The sequence below is a fragment of the Homo sapiens genome, chromosome 1 (genome assembly GCF_000001405.40).
Source record: "Homo sapiens chromosome 1, GRCh38.p14 Primary Assembly".
Classification (NCBI taxonomy): Eukaryota; Metazoa; Chordata; class Mammalia; order Primates; family Hominidae; genus Homo; species Homo sapiens.
Genome location: NC_000001.11, coordinates 217,792,079 through 217,812,781, shown reverse-complemented (window position 1 = coordinate 217,812,781; position 20,703 = coordinate 217,792,079). Strand labels below are relative to the sequence as shown.

At 36.8% G+C, this 20,703-nt stretch overlaps 1 protein-coding gene across 2 annotated transcripts in view; it reads right to left on the bottom strand.

Moving 5' to 3' along the window:
• Window positions 1-20,703, bottom strand: part of SPATA17 (spermatogenesis associated 17) — a 240,353-nt gene that overhangs the window by 58,915 nt on the left and 160,735 nt on the right. For both annotated transcript variants that reach the window (NM_001375655.1, NM_138796.4), the window contains exon 9: window positions 10,932-11,064. In NM_001375655.1, coding sequence (NP_001362584.1) covers window positions 10,932-11,064 — 133 coding nt within the window. The remainder of the gene's footprint in view (window positions 1-10,931; window positions 11,065-20,703) is intronic.

The window sequence follows — 20,703 nt, the reverse complement described above, 5'->3', positions numbered from 1 at the left end:
ACATATGTGAATGTTTTGACAACCAAAAGGATGTTTTTAGTACACTGAATTTTTTATTGTCCAACTCTTTTAGATCTACCCAAATAGATTAAATTAATAATGACTGACGGGTAGATTCTCCTTATTTAATTTCACATCTAGTTTAAATATGGAGATCAGTACAATAAAGAATTTATGAATACAAAGAATTTACCTGATCTTAAAAGGTTCGACCATTTAAGACACAGACTTAGAATCTAACAACTTAACTTGCGCAGTTTGCAAATAGATTAAAAAAATGAGTAAATTATATGGTATGCACATTATCCTATTATTGATTTTCACACTTTCAAAAATTATATATATGCTACTTTTCATTATTGATTTTCATACTTTTGAGAAAAATAGTATTATTTGCTCTAAATTTGCTGACTTTGATTTCTTTGTATAGTGCTCTTCAGTTCAATAGCATTAAAAATAAAACAAAAATTTAAATAATATTTGATACATTAAATTGATTTAATATGAATGTGATGAGAGGAAGAGTATTTACTTACCTTTGATTTTCTGCCAACTGACACCTTTTAACACAATTGGTTAATAAATCATTTGAAAAGTATGACTTCTATGTTTAAAAATAATATAAGTGAATGAAAGATTTCTACATAGACAATCTTAAAATATAATGGGAAGAGTAAAGGACAGAAGCCAAATATACTTGCTTGAGCCTTCTTGGCTAAAGTCAATCTACTGCATTCAACTCCATCTTGCCATAGAAGAACCATAAGATCATGTCAGCCCTTTCTTTCTTCAACATTTTGAACGTGACGTCTCTAGTCTCCCTAAGATTTTCTCTAATCCACCAATAATTAATAAATTGAAGCCTAAAATTTCCAATATCAAGAAACAAAGTTTTATAAAAGTATAGAAAAAAGTATTTTAGCAACCTATTGAATGCAAGTCCCATCCAAGTTGCTTAATATCAAATCAAATTGTAAAGTATTTCTAATAATTCTAAGATTTTATGTTTAGCCAATAAAATGACTAACTATGTATTGTACAGATTATGCTAGCCACCACACAGAGACATAGTTTTTTTTTTTTTTTCTCGAGGTGGAGTCTCACTCTGTTGCCCAGGCTGGAGTGCAATGGCACAATTTCTGTTCACTCCAACCTCCGCCGCCCAAGTTCAAGTGATTCTCCTGACTCAGCCTCCTGAGCAGCTGGGATTACAGGTGTGCACCACCATGCCCAGCTAATTTTTGTAAGTTTGTTTATTTAATGTTGTTGTTTATTTTAAGAGATAAGAAGATGGGGAGAAATAAGGAAGGCAGGGAGGAGAGGAGGAAGAAAAAAAAGAAAGGAAGGTAAGGAAGGAGGGAGAAATGTAAAGTTGTTTTGAATAATTTTCTACATGGTTTTGTATGGAGTAGGAGGGACTGATGATTTATTATGATTTAAAGAATACCTACAATCTCTGGGTGTGGTGGCTCACGCCTGTAATCCCAGCACTTTGGGAAGCCTTGGCTTGAGTTCGAGCCAGGAGTTCGAGACCAGCCTGGCCAGCATGGTTAAACCCCATCTCTACAAAAAATACAAAAATTAGCTGAGTGTGGTGGTGCATGCCTGTAATCCCAGCTATTTGGGAGGCTGAGGTATGAGAATCACTTGAGCTTGGGAGGCAGAGGTTGCAGTGAGCTGAGATTGCACCACTGCACTCCAGCCTCAGCAACAGAGCAAGACTCTGTCTCAAAAAATAAATAAATAAATAAATAAAGAATACCTACAATTTTTCTTTTAATTTTTAGGGTGATATGGTTTGGCTCTGTGTACCCACCAAAATCTCATCTAAAATTTTAATCCCCATGTGTCAAGGGAGGGATCTGGCAGGAGGTGATTGGATTATAGGGGTGGTTTCCCCTATGCTGTTCTTGTGACAGTGAGTGAGTTCTCATGAGATCTGATTGTTTTAAAAAAGTGTTTGGCAGTTCCCCCTTGCACTCTTCTCTCTCACCTGCTGCCATGTAAGACATGCCTGCTTCCCCTTCCCCTTCTACCATCTGCCATGATTGTAAGTTTCCTGAGGCTTCCCCGGCCATGCAGAACTTTGAGTCAATTAAACCTCTTTCTTTTAAAAATAACCGAGTCTCAGATTCTCAGGTACCTCTTTCTTTCTTTTTTTTTTGAGACAGAGTCTCACTCTGTCACCCAGGCTGAAGTGCAGTGGCATGGTCTTGGCTCATGCCTCTGCCTCCTGGGTTCAAGTGATTCTTCTGCCTCAGCCCCCCAAGTAGCTGAGATTACAGGTGTGTGCCACCTCATCCATTTAATTTTTGTATTTTTAGTAGAGATGGGGTTTCACTATGTTGGCCAGGCTGGTCTCGAACTCCTGACTCTGTGATCCGCCTGCCTTGGCCAGGTAGTTTCTTTATAGCAGCGTGAAAACAGACTAATACATGAGACCAACAAGAATAATAATGTGTGATTATTTTTCTTAAGTATGTATGCCTTCTAAAAGTATATGGAGGCATATAATTATTCCTCTAAAATAAAAAATATACTACTTTTCTTTTTACTGTGTATCCAAAAGTTTCTATATTTCCATAAAGTTGCTTACTTTATGGTTAAATAAATGCATATTCTCAAAAAATACCTCAGAATATATGAAGTGAATCTGTTGTATAAAACCAAAAGGAAGTACTACATTATTTTAGGAAACACATTTTGCACAAGAAGATGTCTTACTCTGAAGCAGCTTAATGTCACAAGTCATTTATATTTTAAAGAAATGAACACCTCCTTGAATTAAATAGAACAGTGAGATGGTATAAAAACAACAAATGTTTATGTCAAAGAGAAAATGGGATACAGATCACATTACACATGTTTAAAATATGAAATTAGATAAATAGTTAAAAAGCATATTTAGCTTACATTCTGAATGGTTGCATATCAGTTAAAAGCATGTGCTTAGAACAGGTTGATTGCTGAATTTTATGAAATGACATTGTTATGGCTTGAGTTTGTTCTCACCAAAACTCATGTTGAAATTTGATCCCCAGTGTGGCAGTTTTGGGAGGTGGGACCTAGTGGGAGGTGTTTGGGTCATGGCAACAGATACCTCGTAAATTGCTTGGTGCCATTCTAGTAGTTGTGAGTGAGTTCTCTGATTAGATTAGATTCTTATGAGGATGGATTCATTCCCTCAAGGGTTTGTTATTATAAATCCAATGCGCCTCTTGGGTTTTACCTCCTCATGTGCCTGCTTCCCCTTTGACCTTCTCCACCATGTTATGACACAGCACAAAAGCCCTCACCAGAAGCCAGGAAGATGCCAGTGTCAGCCTTATTGTACTTCTCAGACTCCATAACCGTGAGCTAAATAAGCTTCTTGTCTTTATAAATTACTTAGTCTCAGGTATTCTGTTATAGCAACACAAAACAGACCAAGACAGATATTATCATCAACATTTAGGTTTGTCCATCAGTTCTAAGGGTGAACTAGGCTAAATGACTCACTGTATACATTCTTTATGCCTTGGAATTACTAGTGTTTCTGAAGGCCATTTTTAATTAAGATGTCTTAGCTGCAAACAAAAAAAAAATTGCTTTCTGAAGTATCCAATTTACTTTCCAGCATGTCTTACCCCTTGGCAATCCCATATTTATAATGTCCTTAAAAAATAATGTTTCTTAGAGTTTAGTAAAGAAACATCTTATTTTTCTTTTCGGTCTAACGTTTCTTCCTTTTGAGTAAGGAAGATCCATCTGTAACTTGTGTCTTCCTTTTTATGTTGGATGCCAGGAAGCTGAAATTCTTAAATCACCACCACCATGATGCTTTCCCTTTATGTTGCAGGCATATAAACTCTTCTCATCTTAGACCATTTCCCCTTATCCTTACTTCAATAATATGACCCTTATTGCATTTTACTTTTTTTTTTTTTTTGAGACAGAGTCTCGCTCTGTCACCAGACTGGAGTGCAGTGGCGCGATCTCAGCTCACTGCAACCTCTGCTTCCCAGGTTCAAGCGATTCTCCTGCCTCAGCCTCCCAAGTAGCTGGGGCTACAGGTGTGCACCACCACACCCAGCTGCTAATTTTTGTATTTTTAGTAGAGACAGGGTTTCACCATGTTGGCCAGGATGGTCTCGATCTCTTGACCTTGGGATCTGCCCACCTCGGCCTCCCAAAGTGCTGGGATTACAGGCGTGGGCCACTGTGCCAAGCTGCATTTTGCTTTTAGAAAGATGCCTTAAATCCCTTCAGGAAGGAGGCGGTATGCAAATGAATGAATCCTCACTGATAGACTATTAATAGAATCATTAGATCTGGTAGTATGTGGAACCCATACCCTTTCCAGTGGCCCCAATTCCTTTCCAGAAAGTCACTACTTCATTCTGTATAAATTCTGAGGGGGGTGTGTGTGTGTGTGTGTGTGTGTGTGTGTGTGTGTATTTTTTAATTGTTAGTGAAGGAAACCAAAATATTCCTCTCTGAAATACTGGGGATCACTGAGCTAAAGAAGGTTAAAATGCAGGGGCACATTCTGCCCTTCTCTTTGCCTTTCCCACCTGAAGGCAGGCACTTGTACAACACTTGCTTATCTCAGAAACAGAGTCAGAAGATCCTGGAGGAGACTTTGTTCTTTCCATGAATGTATCTTCCCATATTTTCCTGCTTTTTGGAAGGCTGGAGATACTCTATTCTTTGTTTTGTCACTATATAGAACGTATGGCTCTTTATTAAAGTGCTGTTTATGCAAGGCTCCTGTGCCATGCCTTGAGAGAGAAATACTTTTGAACTGAGGCCTCTTCCATGTGATAGGTATGGCATGTGTTAATACACTTTGACTGGGTTTTTCTCTTGTTAATCTGACTTTTCAGGAAAGTATCTCAACTAAGAATGTATGAGGGAAAGAAAAGAAATTGTATTTTCTCCCTACAAGAAACAACAGGTTAAACGCATAGTAAGAACCTTCCCTTTTCATCTCTTATAGTCTAAGACATGTTTTCCCAATTCAGACATTTTTATTTAAGAGGTAAAAAATATTTTGAAATCAGATAAAAAAATATTTTTTTCTTTCTTCCTTTATATATCATGTTTTTTGACTAATGTTCTTAATTCTGAAGCCCTTATTGAATTGTAATATGGGCAATAAATATACATATACATTATCCTGTTCATTCAGATATATTGAAAGTTTTACTCTAAGCCAAAAATTAAATTAAAAAGCTATAGATATAAAACATAATACGATGAGCCATAACATTTAAATTTTGCAGAATATGTAGTGTTATGATGTTTACACTAAATGTTTTCAGAAAAGCAAACTCTCTTAGGAATGTCCTTAGAGAGTAATATGGGTTTCCTTTTATATGTGATTTTTTTTTCATTTCAGGGTGTACATATACAGGTTTGTTATATGAATATATTATGTAATACTGGGGTTTGGACTTTTATTGATCCCATCACCCAAATAGTGAACCTAGCATTCAATAGGTAGTTTTTCAACCCTTGCCCCACTTCCTCCCTCCCTCCCTCCCCTCTTTTGGAGACCCCAGTATCTATTGTTTCCATCTTTATGTCCATGTGTACTCATCGTTTAGCTCCCACTTATAAGTCAGAACATGCAGTATTTGATTTTCTATGTTTGCATTAATTCACTTAGAATAATGGCCTCCAGCTGCATCCATGTTGCTGCAAAGGACATGACTTCATTTTTTATGGCTGTATAGTATTCCATGGTATATATGGGTCACACAATTTTTTTCCCTATCTATAAGTGCAGCACAAAGATAAGTATGTATATGTATGTTTGTATACAAGTATACATTATTATTAACTATAATCACCATGCTGTATGTGCGCTGCATATATAACTTGTATGTTACATGGTATAGCCTGAATTTTGTAGCCACCCCCACCACCACTCATGTGGTCACATTGAAGCCTAACTCTCAATGTGACTATATTGGAGACAGAGCTTTTAAGAAGGTGATTAAGATTAAATGATGTCATAACAGTCTGTGAGTGCTGGGTTTTGAGCTAGAGTAGGAACATATTGCTAAAAAAATGCATAACATGGTAGAAACAATACCTTATATTTCCAGTGCCTAGAAAAAGTTCTTGACTAATAGATAAAGAGATGATGGGACTCAGGGACTTCATCAGCTCTATTGACAGAAGCCAGGAACAGAGATGAGATTATACCAGCTAAGATGCCAAGAGTTTGAAGTAAATAGTGCAGAGAAAGCAGAAAAGAATTAAGGCCGATTGTGGGACTTCTTGGGTTCTACAGGGACTGGACCACTATTCAAGGAAAGGGACGAATGACCCCTAAGGGGATTCAGAGATCACTGGGGCTGCTACTCCTGCAAGAGGCCCAGGGAGCAGGACCGTTTCCTTCTAGGTTTCAAAGAGTGGGGCCGCCTCTCTAGATTCTGTGGGGCAGGATGACCCTGTTCAGTTCCTCTAGGGCAGGGCCCACCCTTACACGGAGCTATGTGGGCAGGACCCTTGCAGAGAGACTCTACCTCACCCACAGAGCCATCAGGGTGACCCTGCCATCCCAGAGGAACTGGAGAGCAAAATATTGAACCAAAAAGGATTATTTTCAAGTCTTAACATGAAATAGAATTTGCCTTGTTAGGTTTTAGACTTCACTGAGACATATCATCCATTCCTTTCTTCCAATTTTTCCCTTTTGGCATAGAAATATCACCCCTTTGCTTGTCCTACCATTGCATTTTGGAAGCACGTAACTTGTCTGGTTTCACAGGTTCACAGCTACACAGGAAGTTTGCCTCAGGATGAGGCAAGTTTCTCCCATATCTGATTATATGGTATTTCTTGGTAGTTCTTGTTTGTTTTCCCACAGCTTTACTGAGGTATAATTGACAAATTAAATACACCTGCAGTAACTCAACAGATTACTTTGGTTGTATGGACATTTTAACAATATTAAATTCTTTCAGTCCATGAACACAGCATATCCTTGCCAATACATGTTATCTTTTGTCTTTTTGTTAATAGCCATTCTAACATGTGTGAGGTTATATGCCATTGTGGTTTCTATTTGCATTTCCCTGATGATTAATAATGCAGAGCATCTTCTCATATACTTGTTGGCCATTTGTAAAAACTGTATATATTTACAGTGTACAACATGATCTTCTGCTATACATATACATTAGGAAATGATTACCACAATCATGCTAATTAACATATCCATAAGATTTAGCACAGTTATTTCTATTTTGTGACAAGAACATTTAAGATCTATGCTGAGTCATTTTCAAGTATACAATACATTATTAATTTTAGTCACCATGCTGTATAATAGATCTCCAGAACTATTCATCCTAACTGAAACTTTGTACATTTTGACAAACATCCCCTTCTCATTTCTCACCCCTACCTCCTGCCTCAAGTTCCTAGTAACCACCATTCTACTCTGTACTTCTGAGTTTGATTTTTTTCAGATTTCACATATAAATGAGACCATGCAGTATTTGTATTTCTGTGCCTAACATTTCAGTTAGTGTAAGATCCTCCAGGGTTGTCCATGTTATCACAAATGACAGAATGTCCTTCTTTTTAAAAGCTGAATAGTATTCCAATGTGTACATCTAGCACATTTTCTTTATCCATTTGTCATTCAGTGAATAATTTGTTTGATTCCATATCTTGGCGATTTTGAAAATGCTGCAGTAAACATGGGGCTGCAGATATCTCTTCAATATATGGATTTCACTTCCTTTGATCTATACCCAGAAATAGGATTGCTGGATTTTACAGTAGTTCTATTTTTAATTTTTTGAAGAACCTCCATTTTCCATAATGACTGTACTAATTTGTATTCCCACCAATAGTGTACAAGTGTTCCATTTTCTCCACATCCTTGCCAATACATTATCTTTTGTCTTTTTGGTAATAGCCATTCTAACATGTGTGAAGTTATAGCTCATTGTGGTTTCTGTTTGCATTTCCCTGATGATTAGTGATGTTGAGCATCTTCTCATATACTTGTTGGCCATTTGCATGTCTTCTTTTGAGAAATGTCTATTCCAGTCTTTTGCCCATTTTTAAAAGAGGTTATTTGTTTTCTTGCTATTGAGTTGTATGAGTTCCTTATATATTTCAGATATTAACTCTATCAAATGTATGGTTGGCAAATTTTTTTTCCTATTCCATAGTTTGTCTCTTTACGCTGTTGATCATTTCCTTTGCTGTGCAAAGCTTTTTGGTTTGATGCAATTCTATTTGTCTATTTTTGCTTTTGTTGCCTATACTTTTGGGGTCATATCCAAAAAATAATTGCTTAGACCAATGTCAAGAAGCTTTTTTCCTATATTTCCTTCTAGTAGTTTTACAGTTTCAGGTCTTAATCTAGTTTTAGTTGATATTTGCATATGGTGTGAGATAAGGATCCACTTTCATTCTTCTGCAGTGGATATACAGTTTTCTCATCACTATTTGTTGAAGAGACCATCCTGTCCCCACTGTGTGTATTTGGGACCTTTGTCAAAGATCAATTGAGCACAAATGTGTGCATTTATTTCTGGGTTCTGTATCCTATTCCATTGTTTGATGTGTCTATTTTTTATGCTAGGACCATGTTGTATTGATTACTATGACTTTGTAATATAATTTGAAATCAGATAGTGTGATGCTTCCATCTTTAGTCTTTTTGCTCAAGATTGCTTTGGCTGTTCAGGGTCTTTTGTGGTTCAGGAATTTTAGGATTGTTTTTTCTTTTCTTCTTCTTTTTTTTTTTCCTCTTTTGAGACAGTCTTACTGTTTTACCCAGGCTGGAGTGCAGTGGCACGATCTCAGCTCACTGCAACCTCTGCCTCCAAGGTTTGAGTGATCCTCCTGCCTCAGCCTCCCAAGTAGCTGGGACTACAGGCAGGCACCACCACACCCGGCTACCTTTTGTATTTTTAGTAAAGGCAGGGTTTCACCAAGTTGGCCATGCTGGTCTCGAACTCCTGATCTCAAGTGATCTGCCCACCTTGGCCTCCCAAAGTGCTGGGATTACAGGCATGAGCCACCCTGCCTGGCCAAGGATTATTTTTTCTATTTCTGTGAAAAATGACATTGGGATTTTGATAGGGATTGTATTGACTCAGTTGATCACTTTGTTTATATGGACATTTTAACAATATTAAATTTTTCCAGTCCATGAACACAGAATACCTTTCCATTTATTTGTGTCTTCTTTAATTTATATCATCAGTATTTTATAGTTTTCAATGTACAGATCTTTTACTTCCTTAGTTAAATTCATTCCTATGTGGGATTATTATCTTGATTTCTTTTTGGAACAGTTCGTTGTTAGTATATGGAAATGCTACTAATATTTGTATGTTAATTTTGTATGCTGAAACATTATTGCATTTGTTTATTAGTTCTAACAGTCTTTTGGTGGAGTCTTTAGGGTTTTTAATATTTAAGATCATGTCATTTGCAAACAATTTTATGTCTTCCTTTCCAGTGTGGATGCCTTTTCTTTCTTTCTCTTGCCTAACTGCTCTGGCTAGGACTTCCAGTACTATACTGAATGCCTCAAGGACTGGGCATCCTTGAGGCTGGGTGCGGTGGCTCATGCCTATAATCCCAGAACTTTGGGAGGCTGAGGCGGGCAGATCACCAGGTCAGGAGAAGGAGACCATCGTGGCTAACAGGGTGAAACCCTGTCTCTACTGAAAATACAAAAAATTAGCCAGGTGTGGTGGCATGCGCCTGTAGTCCCAGCTGCTTGGGAGGTTGAGGCAGGAGAATCACTTGAATCTGAGGGGCGGAGGTTGCAGTGAGCCAAGATTGCGCCATTGCACTCCAGCCTGAGCGACAGAGCGAGACTTCATCTCAAAAACAGAAAAAAAAGAGTGGGCACCCTTGTCATGTTCCTATGATTTAGATATGACTTTAGACTTTAGAGTGGGTACTAAATGTATTAAGATTCTTGTGGCTTTTGAGATGGAAAGAATGTATTTGCATTCAAGAGTGCATGAGTTTGGGGGCCAGGAATGGAAGGCTATGAACTGAATTGTGTTTCCCTAGAATTCATATGTTGAATATCTAATCTGTAATGTGACTGTATTAGAGACGGAACCTGTAAGGAGGTGATTGAGGTTAAATAAGGTCATGAAGGTAGAGTCCTGGTCCCTTGGGATTAGTGCCCTTACAGGGAGAGATACAAGACAGCCTGCTCTCTCTCTGCCCAGAGAGAAGAGGTCATATGAGCAAACAGGGAGATGGTAGCTGTCTACAAGCCAGGAAGAAAGGCCTCACCAGAAACTATGTTGGCAGGAATCTCAGACTTCCAGCCTCCAGAATTGTAAGAAAATAAATGTCTGTGCTTGAAGCCACATAGTCTATAGTACTTTGTTGTGGCAGTCTGAGTATAGACTAATATATCACATAAGTGCCACATATACGTGCTGTACCTGTTATGAAAGTGCATATGACACTCAGGAGTTGCACATATACATATATGCAGGTTAAATGTATGTTATACATTTATACATCATGTTTTATATAATGCTTGTCTTCTCTCCCCTCCTCTTTATTTAGCTATCTATAAACATACATACATAGATTGAGAGAGAGCAAACAAGCCCTGATCTCCATGCCTGAGAGTTAGCTTAACTCCATTCTGTGACCTCATACTCAAGCCCTGACCACCTGGTCATATGCCAAAGCCAATGATCCATGCCTTTGATCCTAGGGCAGCTAAGTTATAGCTAAGTCATAAAACTTAAGAATACAATACTGAAAAAAAAAAATCTTACATAGGTCAGCAGCACCATCTTTACCTAAAACAGCTATAAAAAATGTTGTTACCATAAAGGTCTTAATTGTAATAAGAATATTTATATTTGCTCTAATTAATGTATATTTCTAGCTTTTAAAAAGGAATAACTTTTTAAAATGTTTTGTTAACTCACCTTGTCACAGATCCATTTCTTAGGATTTTCACTTCGGAATTGTTCTTTGTAAGAAATAGGACCATACTTGCTTGATAAATGCATTGATGGGATGTACTTTTCATTTTTATGGTATGAAGAAAATGGCAAAAACCTGAAAGAAATATTTAAGAGCTATTCTTAACTTGATTTCTAGAGACATTTGATTTTTAAAATAAGGCTTTGTAGAAGTACTATAGTACAGTGAAAATGATACAAGATTTAGAATCAGAATACCTAGATTCCATTTCAACCTCTGCCACTGATTATCTGTGTTAATTACTTCTATTAATCTTTATTTTCTATTCTGCAAATAGAGATACTAAAATGTTCTTCACAGAATTTTTGTGAGTCTCAAGTATTTTATATATAGAGATAATGTTAAATAATACATTTATGAATTAATTATGCCAAAAACTCAAAATTCATCATATAAATGAAAATGTTCTTAATTTTAAAATAGTATCCCTAAATCAAAAGGACAGCCAGTACAGTCAATTCTTACTGAAGTAGGCTTTCTTCAATTTTAAGTCACTTCAATAATGGTGGCATTATTGGTAGTGGTAGCAGTTATGAATAATGGGGTCTTCAAGCCAGCCAGACCTGTAATCACATCTTAGCTTTGCTTTGCTAGCTGTATTACCCTATGCAAGTTACCTGAATGAGCCTTGACTTCCATATAGGGTTATTACAATGAATGAACAACTTAATTTATGTAAGGTATTTAACATGGAGGCTGAAAAAAATGTGTCCAATAAATAATGTTGGTGCTAAAAGCAGATGTAAAAATCGAAGGAACCTGTTGCAGCAACCATTATCATTACCATCATCATTATTACTTTAGATATTTTTATGATCAACAGAAAAGACCAAACTTTTAAAACCCATATAAACTCTCACAGAACATCTAAGATTGTGATATGCTTTCAGTATAACCCAGATCCCTCACCAAAACACACTGAAATAAGAGTAAATAAATCTTTTTAAAAAGTTATAAACCTATAAGAAGAAATAGGACAGAAAATAAGAAAGAGCAATTGAAAATACCAATTAATTTTAGCAGGTGGAAGGAAGATAGAAAATTCATAAATGACACAAAAGAGTTAAGAAAACTGAAATCTAAGTGCCAGAAGAATGAGATGTCAAAGAGAAACAGGGCAATTTGTCCTGCAGAACCATGGAAAAGCTCAGGAACTAAATCTACAGTTATTGCAGAAAGTGAGAGAAGGAATGAAGCTGAAAACAGCTGAAAGTCTATGTAAGGAGTAATGAAATCCCCAGGTTCATGTCCCAGTCCATGTATCCATAAGAGCCTATTCTCAGAAAAATTTACACCAAAAAGCTCTAGTCTCAAGGAAAGCACGTACAGAGGAATGCTAAGGGGAGGCACCAAATGGAATATGTAGATTTTAATCCAAAGACTGGCCATTGAACTCTTTCCCTGCTCGTCTCTTAAGTGCACTGGCAGCTTGGACTTATATCCTTCAGAAGACTGATTGCATCTTCTGAAAAGACATGACAGTTCTCAGAGAAACGAGTTCAAATATCAACAATTTGGGGATGTTTTGATTAAAAAGCTGTATCAGAGTATAATAAAATCTATCAAAAAGCCACTCTTTTACACCCATAGAGTTTCTAATCTAATTTTTATATTTTCCCTTTTAATATAAACTTAAGAATGAATTACCAGTGGGAAAATAATCAACGTGGAAGAAGGACAGAAATCCAAACATAAGGAATAAGCTAGAGGAAACAGACATCATAATGCAGCAAACAGGAGTAAATTCAGAAATTTTTAACACATATAATCAAAGGAGATACGGTATTAATGAAATAAAAGTTGGATGCTTTTTTAAATAAAAGAAACATTTAGAGAAAAGTGGAAGCTCTGGGAAATAAAAACTATAAATAGCAAAATAAAATATTCTCCTGAGAAAAATATTCTGAAATTCAGACTTAAAAAAAAAGTTGAGGTTCAACATATATTTATTGAGCCATTACTATATGCCAAAATTTTCACACAGATGATCTAATTTAGTTAAGATAAAGAAGGGTGTTCTTAAAAGTCTAAATTCAATGGAAAATTATTATTTTTGCCATTTAATAAACTTAGAAAAAGTAGAATTCTTTCATCAATTTTAATACCTCTCTGCAATTTCTTTTTAATATTTATTAATAAATTAATTCTTAATATTTTTCCTAAGAATATATTTTCTAACACTATTTAAAATAAAAAATAAACAGAATACAGAGCTTTGAATTATACAAAGTTACAGAAGCATGTATTACGTATGCTCTTGGGAAAAGAGCTCTCATATAAGATAGATTATGGTCCTTCCAGTGCTAATTTGCATGTGGGATGGACATCACACACAAACAAACTAATGTGGCCCCAATGTCCCTGAGTATACAAAGGAGGTGCTGCGAGCCGGCTGCTGCACTTACAGTTTTTATCACTTCTGAATTGCATTTTAATAGTACATTTTTCTTTTGTGTCTGAACAAAATTTGCCTTCTCAAGGGAATGAATGGCCGAGACGACAAGGCTGGAAGACTGGGTATTTCCCTGCTCGTGAATTAACTCTACTTTCATTTAGCCATCATGTTTCATGAAAGTAACATATATACATATTCTTAATTGTACATATATATGTGCATGTATGTATACTCAAAAATATTTAGATATTTTATAATCTTTAAATAACATTTATCTTCAAATTAGGAAAAAATTATTTAATTCTCAAATCAGATTTGCTCTATAAAGTATAAATAGCTACTAACATTAAAAAATCACTTTGATTTATAGTAAAATTTTACATAATTATCAATTACTTTAAAACGATATTCTTTTACCAGTTTTTAATATATATTCAGTTGTGCTTATGCTTACAGATCGAGCCACTGCTCTCCAGCCTAGGCGACAGAGTGAGACTCCGTCTCAGAAAAAAAAAAAAAAAAAGACAGAAAATAGAATGCTGTTGCCAGGGTGCTTATATTGTCTCCTATCAGTACAGGTCAAGTTTCAGCAGTTTCGTATTGTCTTACTTAACTTCTCTATGATGGATGTTGCATCTCCATGCAACTGAGAATATTATCCCAGTTGCAGATACTCCTGTCACACCCTGTAACCATCACTGAGGTGCTACACTGGCTCTCTCTTTGGAGGGCTGACTTGGCCACAGTATTACAAAGGCTGATTAAGACTGAGGATCAAGGTGGACACCCATTATCACATTCCTCTCTCTAAACTCTGTTGCTAAATTACATGCCTTATGATCATTTGATGCCCACAGAAGTCTGACATTTTCCACCTTCTATTGGAAGAGATTTCATATTTATGAATTATAAAATAAATACAAGACTCTTAAACAATAAGTGACTATTGACACATACACTTTTTCAGGTGGGAAAAGAGAAACACATACTTTTTCTTATTCTCAAAGTAGGTATAAAATTATTTACTTTTCAAGTTTGAAAACCTCCTATCCTTTACAGACAAGAAAATATAATGAGATAACAGAATAGCAAATAAGGTCTTATGAATTTTATTGTTGCAATATTTGAGTAATTGAACATCATACGTTCAAGTAGTAGTTTACTTCTAATAAGAGTGACTGTAAGATGCTATTATTTCTTTAGCATGCACTACTGGGGTAATAAATGACAAAGAATCTCTTAGAAAATCAATAGTTTTATCTTTTAAATTACATAAAGTAGGAATTATGTCAATTGCTTTTTGTTCTTATAGCAAAATTTTAGCACATTCTCAAAAGATCACAAGCTTCATTAATAAAGATGTTAGTCTATGAGCAGCCTCCTCATGCCAATCATTAACAACACTGGAAGGACAGGAACTCCTAAATAGGGATATAGGATGGGCTGCTAGGGGTCATCCCAGAATATCTGCTTAAAAGGTCTATCTAAAATACTTTCTAAAGAAGTCTCAAGGAGTAAGAGCTTAGTAATGTTCAAAACAGAACAGTTATTTAAATTGGGATGAAGAAAATAAGAATAGAAAAATTCCACTCCAGACGTATTAAGGGAAGGGAATCTGTACTCTGTTCTACAAAACTTGATTTGACAAGCAAAGACACCTACGTTTAAAAGTTGGGAAAGAATTGATGCAAGAATGTAAAGAGGAAATATGGGTAAATGACATTGATTTAATTTAATAAATGAATCAACAAACAGCAAATGTTTATGTTATAAAAGTACACCTGCTCAAAAATTAATCTTAACTCTAATATTTTAACCATTATTATAATATAGAAAGCAGTAAATTTAGGCCGGGTGCTGTGGCTAATGCCTGTAATCCCAGCACTTTGGGAGGCTGAGGTGGGTGGATCACTTGAGTTCAGATGTTCAAGACCAGCCTGGACAACATGGCAAAACCTCATCTCTACTAAAAATATAAAAAATAGCCAGATGTGATGGTATGGGGCTGTAATCCCAGCTACTCAAGAGGCTAAGGCAGGAGAATCATCTGAACCCGGGAGGTGGAGGCTGCACTGAGCCGAGATCACACTACTGCACTGCAGCCTGGGCAACAGAGTGAGACTCCATCTCAAAAAAAAAAAAAAAAGAAAGAAAGAAAGAAAATAGTAAATTTAATGTTTTGAGGGCTGAGGGGCTGAGTTATAACCAGTTCGTGCCTGATCTCATTATCAGATGACCCGGTTCTCATAAACCAATCACAAGCTTTTTTAAGGCAAAGCATTTCGAAAGAACGTGTAATTGGAAATATACAAATTATTTGGCAACAATATTTGAAATAGGATGAGACATGTTTTACAATTGTAGTAAGTATAGTTAATAATGAATAATTTTGCTCCTTCTAGAAAAACAAACCATGTTATGGCCCATTAAAAAGGGCCATAAGTTGTTGAATATTTGTCCTTTATGACACAGAATAGTTTGAGTTTTACTAAAAGGTCAGCAAATAAATAACAGTCTATTTTTCATTACCTTCAACATGAAAAATAAAAAGCATCTTTACCGTATGTATTAACCACCTAAATGTCCAGGTAAACCTAATATATAGCTCATTAGTATGAACAGAAAGATTTCAAAACATAGATTAGTGGAGTTTTTGTTGAAGAGATATTAATAAAATGAGCAACAATCTGGAATAGAAATTAGACAGACTTCCTTTATGGTTGAGGACAAACCATAGCTATAAGCGCTTAATACACACAGTATTTTATACTTAGAGTAGAATTCATAGTACAAATTTAAAACTCATGAACTATTTAGGCAGCAATATCTTCCCCCCAGGGTGGAGACAGAAATGTAATGTTTAAATATAAAGAATGCAAGTGGCAAAACTATCTGTTCAACTAAACAGTAAGCTTATATTGCAAGCTTCTAAATTTAACTGGAAAGATATTTTTCCCTTTTCCTTACATTTTTCTTAGCTTCAGAGGAATACATTTCCCTGGATTTATTATTATTATTATTATTAACAATCTCAAATCACCTTGGCTCAGTAATTTCATTACATCTATGCAACAAATTTCTGATATATATTTTGCAGAGTTCACTTTATTTTCTTCTGATTGTGAAAAATATTTTTAAAAATCTCTGCTAAAAGATACTAAAGTTAAAGGCCGCAACTAAATAGCATTCACATAGGCTCTTCTTTTAGGCCATTTACATCAAATGTTTTAAACTAACAAAGTTTCAAAAATGGCTAAAAATGATGAACTTAGATATTTTACGGACTTATATAAATCACTTAAAGAACATAAACTTCTCACGCCTGTAGTCTTAGCACTTTGGGAGGCCAAGGTGTGTGGATCACTTGAGCCCAGGAGTTTGAGACCAGCTTCGGCAACGTGGTGAAACCCCATCTCTACAAAAAATACAAAAATCAGCTGGGCGTGGTGGTGAGAAGGTGTAGTCTCAGCTACTAGAGAGGCTGAGGTGGGAGGATCACCTGAGCCTGGAGGTCAAAGCTGCCGTGAGTCACGATCATGCCACTGCACTCCAGCCTGGGTGACAGACTGAGACCCTGTCTCAAAATAAATAAATAAATAAATAGAAGGTGTCAAGAAATACAAACAACTATATCCAGAGCACCGTATTCCAAACTATGGTCTGGGGATGAGATGAGGGGACTCATGGCCAACTAGGCCATTTGCTCCATGAAGTCAATAGACTTTTGTCACTGGGGGCGGTGGCTCATGTCTGTAATCCCAGCACTTTGGGAGGCCGAGGTGGGTGGATCACCTAAGGTCAGGAGTGCAAGACCAGCCTGGCCAACATGGTGAAACCCTGTCTCTACTAAAAATACAAAAATTAGCCAGGTGTAGTGGTGGGCACATGCAGTCCCAGCTACTTGGGAGACTGAGGCAGAAGAATCAATTGAACGCCAGAGGCGGAGTTTGCAGCGAGCCGAGATCACACCACTGCACCCCAGCCTGGGCGACAGAGCAAGACTCTGTCTCGAAAAAAAAAAAAAAAAAAAAAAAAGAGACTTTTGTCTGTCTTGCTCACTGCTATGTTCTCAATGCCTAATGTAGTGCCTGGCATATAGTCAGCATGCAATATTTGTTGAGTGAATACACTTGCAAAATGCTATATACTGTATTATATTTCCCCTCTTTGATAGTCACATCAAATAAAAGTATATTTAAGACTGAGAAGCCCTGTAAGTGCCAAAAATCCATTTAAGTGTTTTCAATGTAATTTTTCCCCAAATTTATTTGAAAGAAACTCATTAACATTAGTCTTAAGACTAGTTTTTTAAGAGACATAATTTGGAAAATCATGTTCATAGTAAGAACAACAAAAGAAAATACAAGCCTATTACTGAGACTGTTAGCGTAGTATTAATAAACATCAAAGAGAAATCATAATTGACTTCATTTTTTGGCTTGACTTGTTTTTAATGAGAATGATTTTTGTGATCTGATATGTTAGGCTAAAACAAGCAAAATCTAGTTCAAGCTCAAGAGTCAAAATTCAATCTTAAAAAACCTCTTAGCACTTACTGTTTGTGAACGATTGTGCTAAGTGTAGTGCATAAGTCAGGGGCTCTGTTGTTGAGAAGCTTATCGTCCAGAACAAGGCTCTCTTATTTTTCTGTTAAAGGGCCAGGCAGGTAACATAAACGAGTCAGATGTAAACCAAAGAGTCCAAGTTTTAATCAATTGTTGCCATGTCAGACTGTGAGTCTGCTCCTTCTAGATCTCCTGATTTTTGCTATAAGCGGTAAAATCTGGAGTTTTAAATAATTTAATTGCCATTTTTAATTACTTTTCAATTTATCTAATTTTTAGAATATTGTGGGATCCAAATACAACACACCCAGGAGGCCATATGCAGCTCACAAGCTACTAGTTTGCAATCTCTGGTTTAGAATTTTAAAGTGAGTAGCTCCGTCAATGATTTTAAGGTCCCTGACAAGATAAATTAAATCTTAAATTACTGTGCAAGCTTTTGTATGAGATCACCAAATCACCATTAGTTATTCTTAATAAATTGTGAATGTACCAAAGATGTAACAAAACGATTTTTAAACAGAAGACTATAGATTCTACAGTATATAGAGGGCTTAATGTGATGTTAATTCCCAAAGAAAATACAGGAGAAGTAACAACTAGGTGATAGTCACAGGGGAAAGTAAAATCTACTAATGAATGACTCCCCAATAGCCAAATCCTAGATATCCTTTTTAGTTTTCTTTCTTTTTCTTTCTTTCTTTTTTTTTTTTTTTTGTGACGGAGTCTCGCTCTGTTACCCAGGCTGGAGTGCAGTGGCGCGATCTTGGCTCACTGCAAGCTCCGCCTCCCGGGTTCACGCCATTCTCCTGCCTTACCCTCCAGAGTAGCTGGGACTACAGGCGCCCGCCACCACACCCAACTAATTTTTTGCGTTTTTTAGTAAAGACGGGGTTTCACCGTGATAGCCAGGATGGTCTCGATCTCCTGACCTCGTGATCTGCCAACCGCGGCCTTCCAAAGTGCTGAGATTACAGGCGTGAGCCACCGCACCCGGCCTCCTTTTCAGTTTTCACTGAATTTGAACTTGCATCAAGCTGTTCATTCACTTCTTGTAGCCAGTCCTCTTTTATTTGCACAATCGCTCCTGGTTCTCTTTCTTGCTGTCTCTGTTTCTTGACTGACTCGTATTCTGCCAATATCTGAAAGTAATGACTCTTAACCAGAACTGTGCATTTGAATCACCTGGGCATATTTTGCAAATATATATGCCTACTGAACCAAACTAACTGTGATTGAGACTTGGGAATTCATATGCATATATTTTTAAACCTCAAGGTGATGCAGTTAAGCAATCCTGACTAAAACTGTCCTGCCGGGCACGGTGGCGCACGCCTGTAATCCCAGCACTTTGGGAGGCCGAGGCGGGCGGATCACGAGGTCAAGAGATCGAGACCATCCTGGCTAACACGGTGAAACCCCGTCTCTACTAAAAGTACAAAAAATTAGCCGGGTGTGGTGGTGGGTGCCTTTAGTCCCGGCTACTCAGGAGGCTGAGGCGGGAGAATGGCATCAACCCGGAAGGCGGAGCTTGCAGTGAGCCGAGATCGTGCCACTGCACTCCAGCCTGGGCAACAGAGCAAGACTCCGTCTCAAAAAAAAAAAAAAAAACAAAAACCACTGCCCTAACATTAAAGCAATTCCTAGAAATCTGTAATCTTCTCTCTATATAGTTTCTCCTGAGGGATTATTCCACCACCAAGGTTTTAACTATCACCTCTAAACTGATGATTTCTAAATCTTTATCTCAATACACAATATCTTTCTTTAACTGAAGAACAGTGTTTTCAAATGTTCACTATGGATATTTCCCTTGATACACTAGAGGAACCTCAAATAGAGCTGCCTCCAAATTAAACTCATATCCAAATCCTCCATGCTATCAAATTTGCAATGCTTCTTATATATTTTTTCTTAGATAAGTCAGAACATCATCCTCTAGCCAGTCACCTAAGTCAGAAGCCATCAAGTCAGGGCATGAGAGGACGTTCCTGCCTCTGCTCTCCTCAATCTGAGGAGATTCTTGCTTGTGGCTCTACTCTCACAAAAAAAACTGTATTTGATATAATGGGACACCCCTCCCCGAGACCACAGTCGTGGTCTATTAGTACGTTAATAGACCTTTAACTTAACCCTTATTTATTGTCTATTTTGTTCCAAGCCTATGGGGTATGTGAGCAAATTTGTTAACACAAATTGAGCAAAACAGATTCTCTCTCAGAAATTTGAACTGAAAAACAGAAGTAGCTGTGGGTTCTAGAGCTGGAAGGTTATATTGAATTAGGCCTGGGTGGTAACTAAGTGAAAGCTAAAGATTTATGGGAAAGAAAGTTTATGATTTACAAGTCATCAGTTAAGCTAGTCAGTAGAAAGAAGCAGATGAAGGTGCAGAGGAAGGAAGAGATGCCACTAGAAGGAGAACGCCATGTCTTTACAGCCCCCTACTCATCTTAGTCCAGTTTTTCTTTGGGTCTTTATATCTCTATAAAATTCCTCAATATATCTTTTAAACACCCCCTTAGTTTCTTGAGTTTCCTTGAATGGATCTTTGTTCTTTGCGAGTAAGAAAGCTCTGAGACAGTGATCCTAAATGCATCTGTGCCTCTGACCACACCATCCAGACCATATCAGGCTCACCCCTAAATCTGATTTAGGGTTTATAGCAAACTTGTCTAACCCATGCGCCGTGGGCCACATGCAGCCTAACACAAATTTGTAAACTTTCTTCAAACATTTAAAAATTATTTGTTGTGA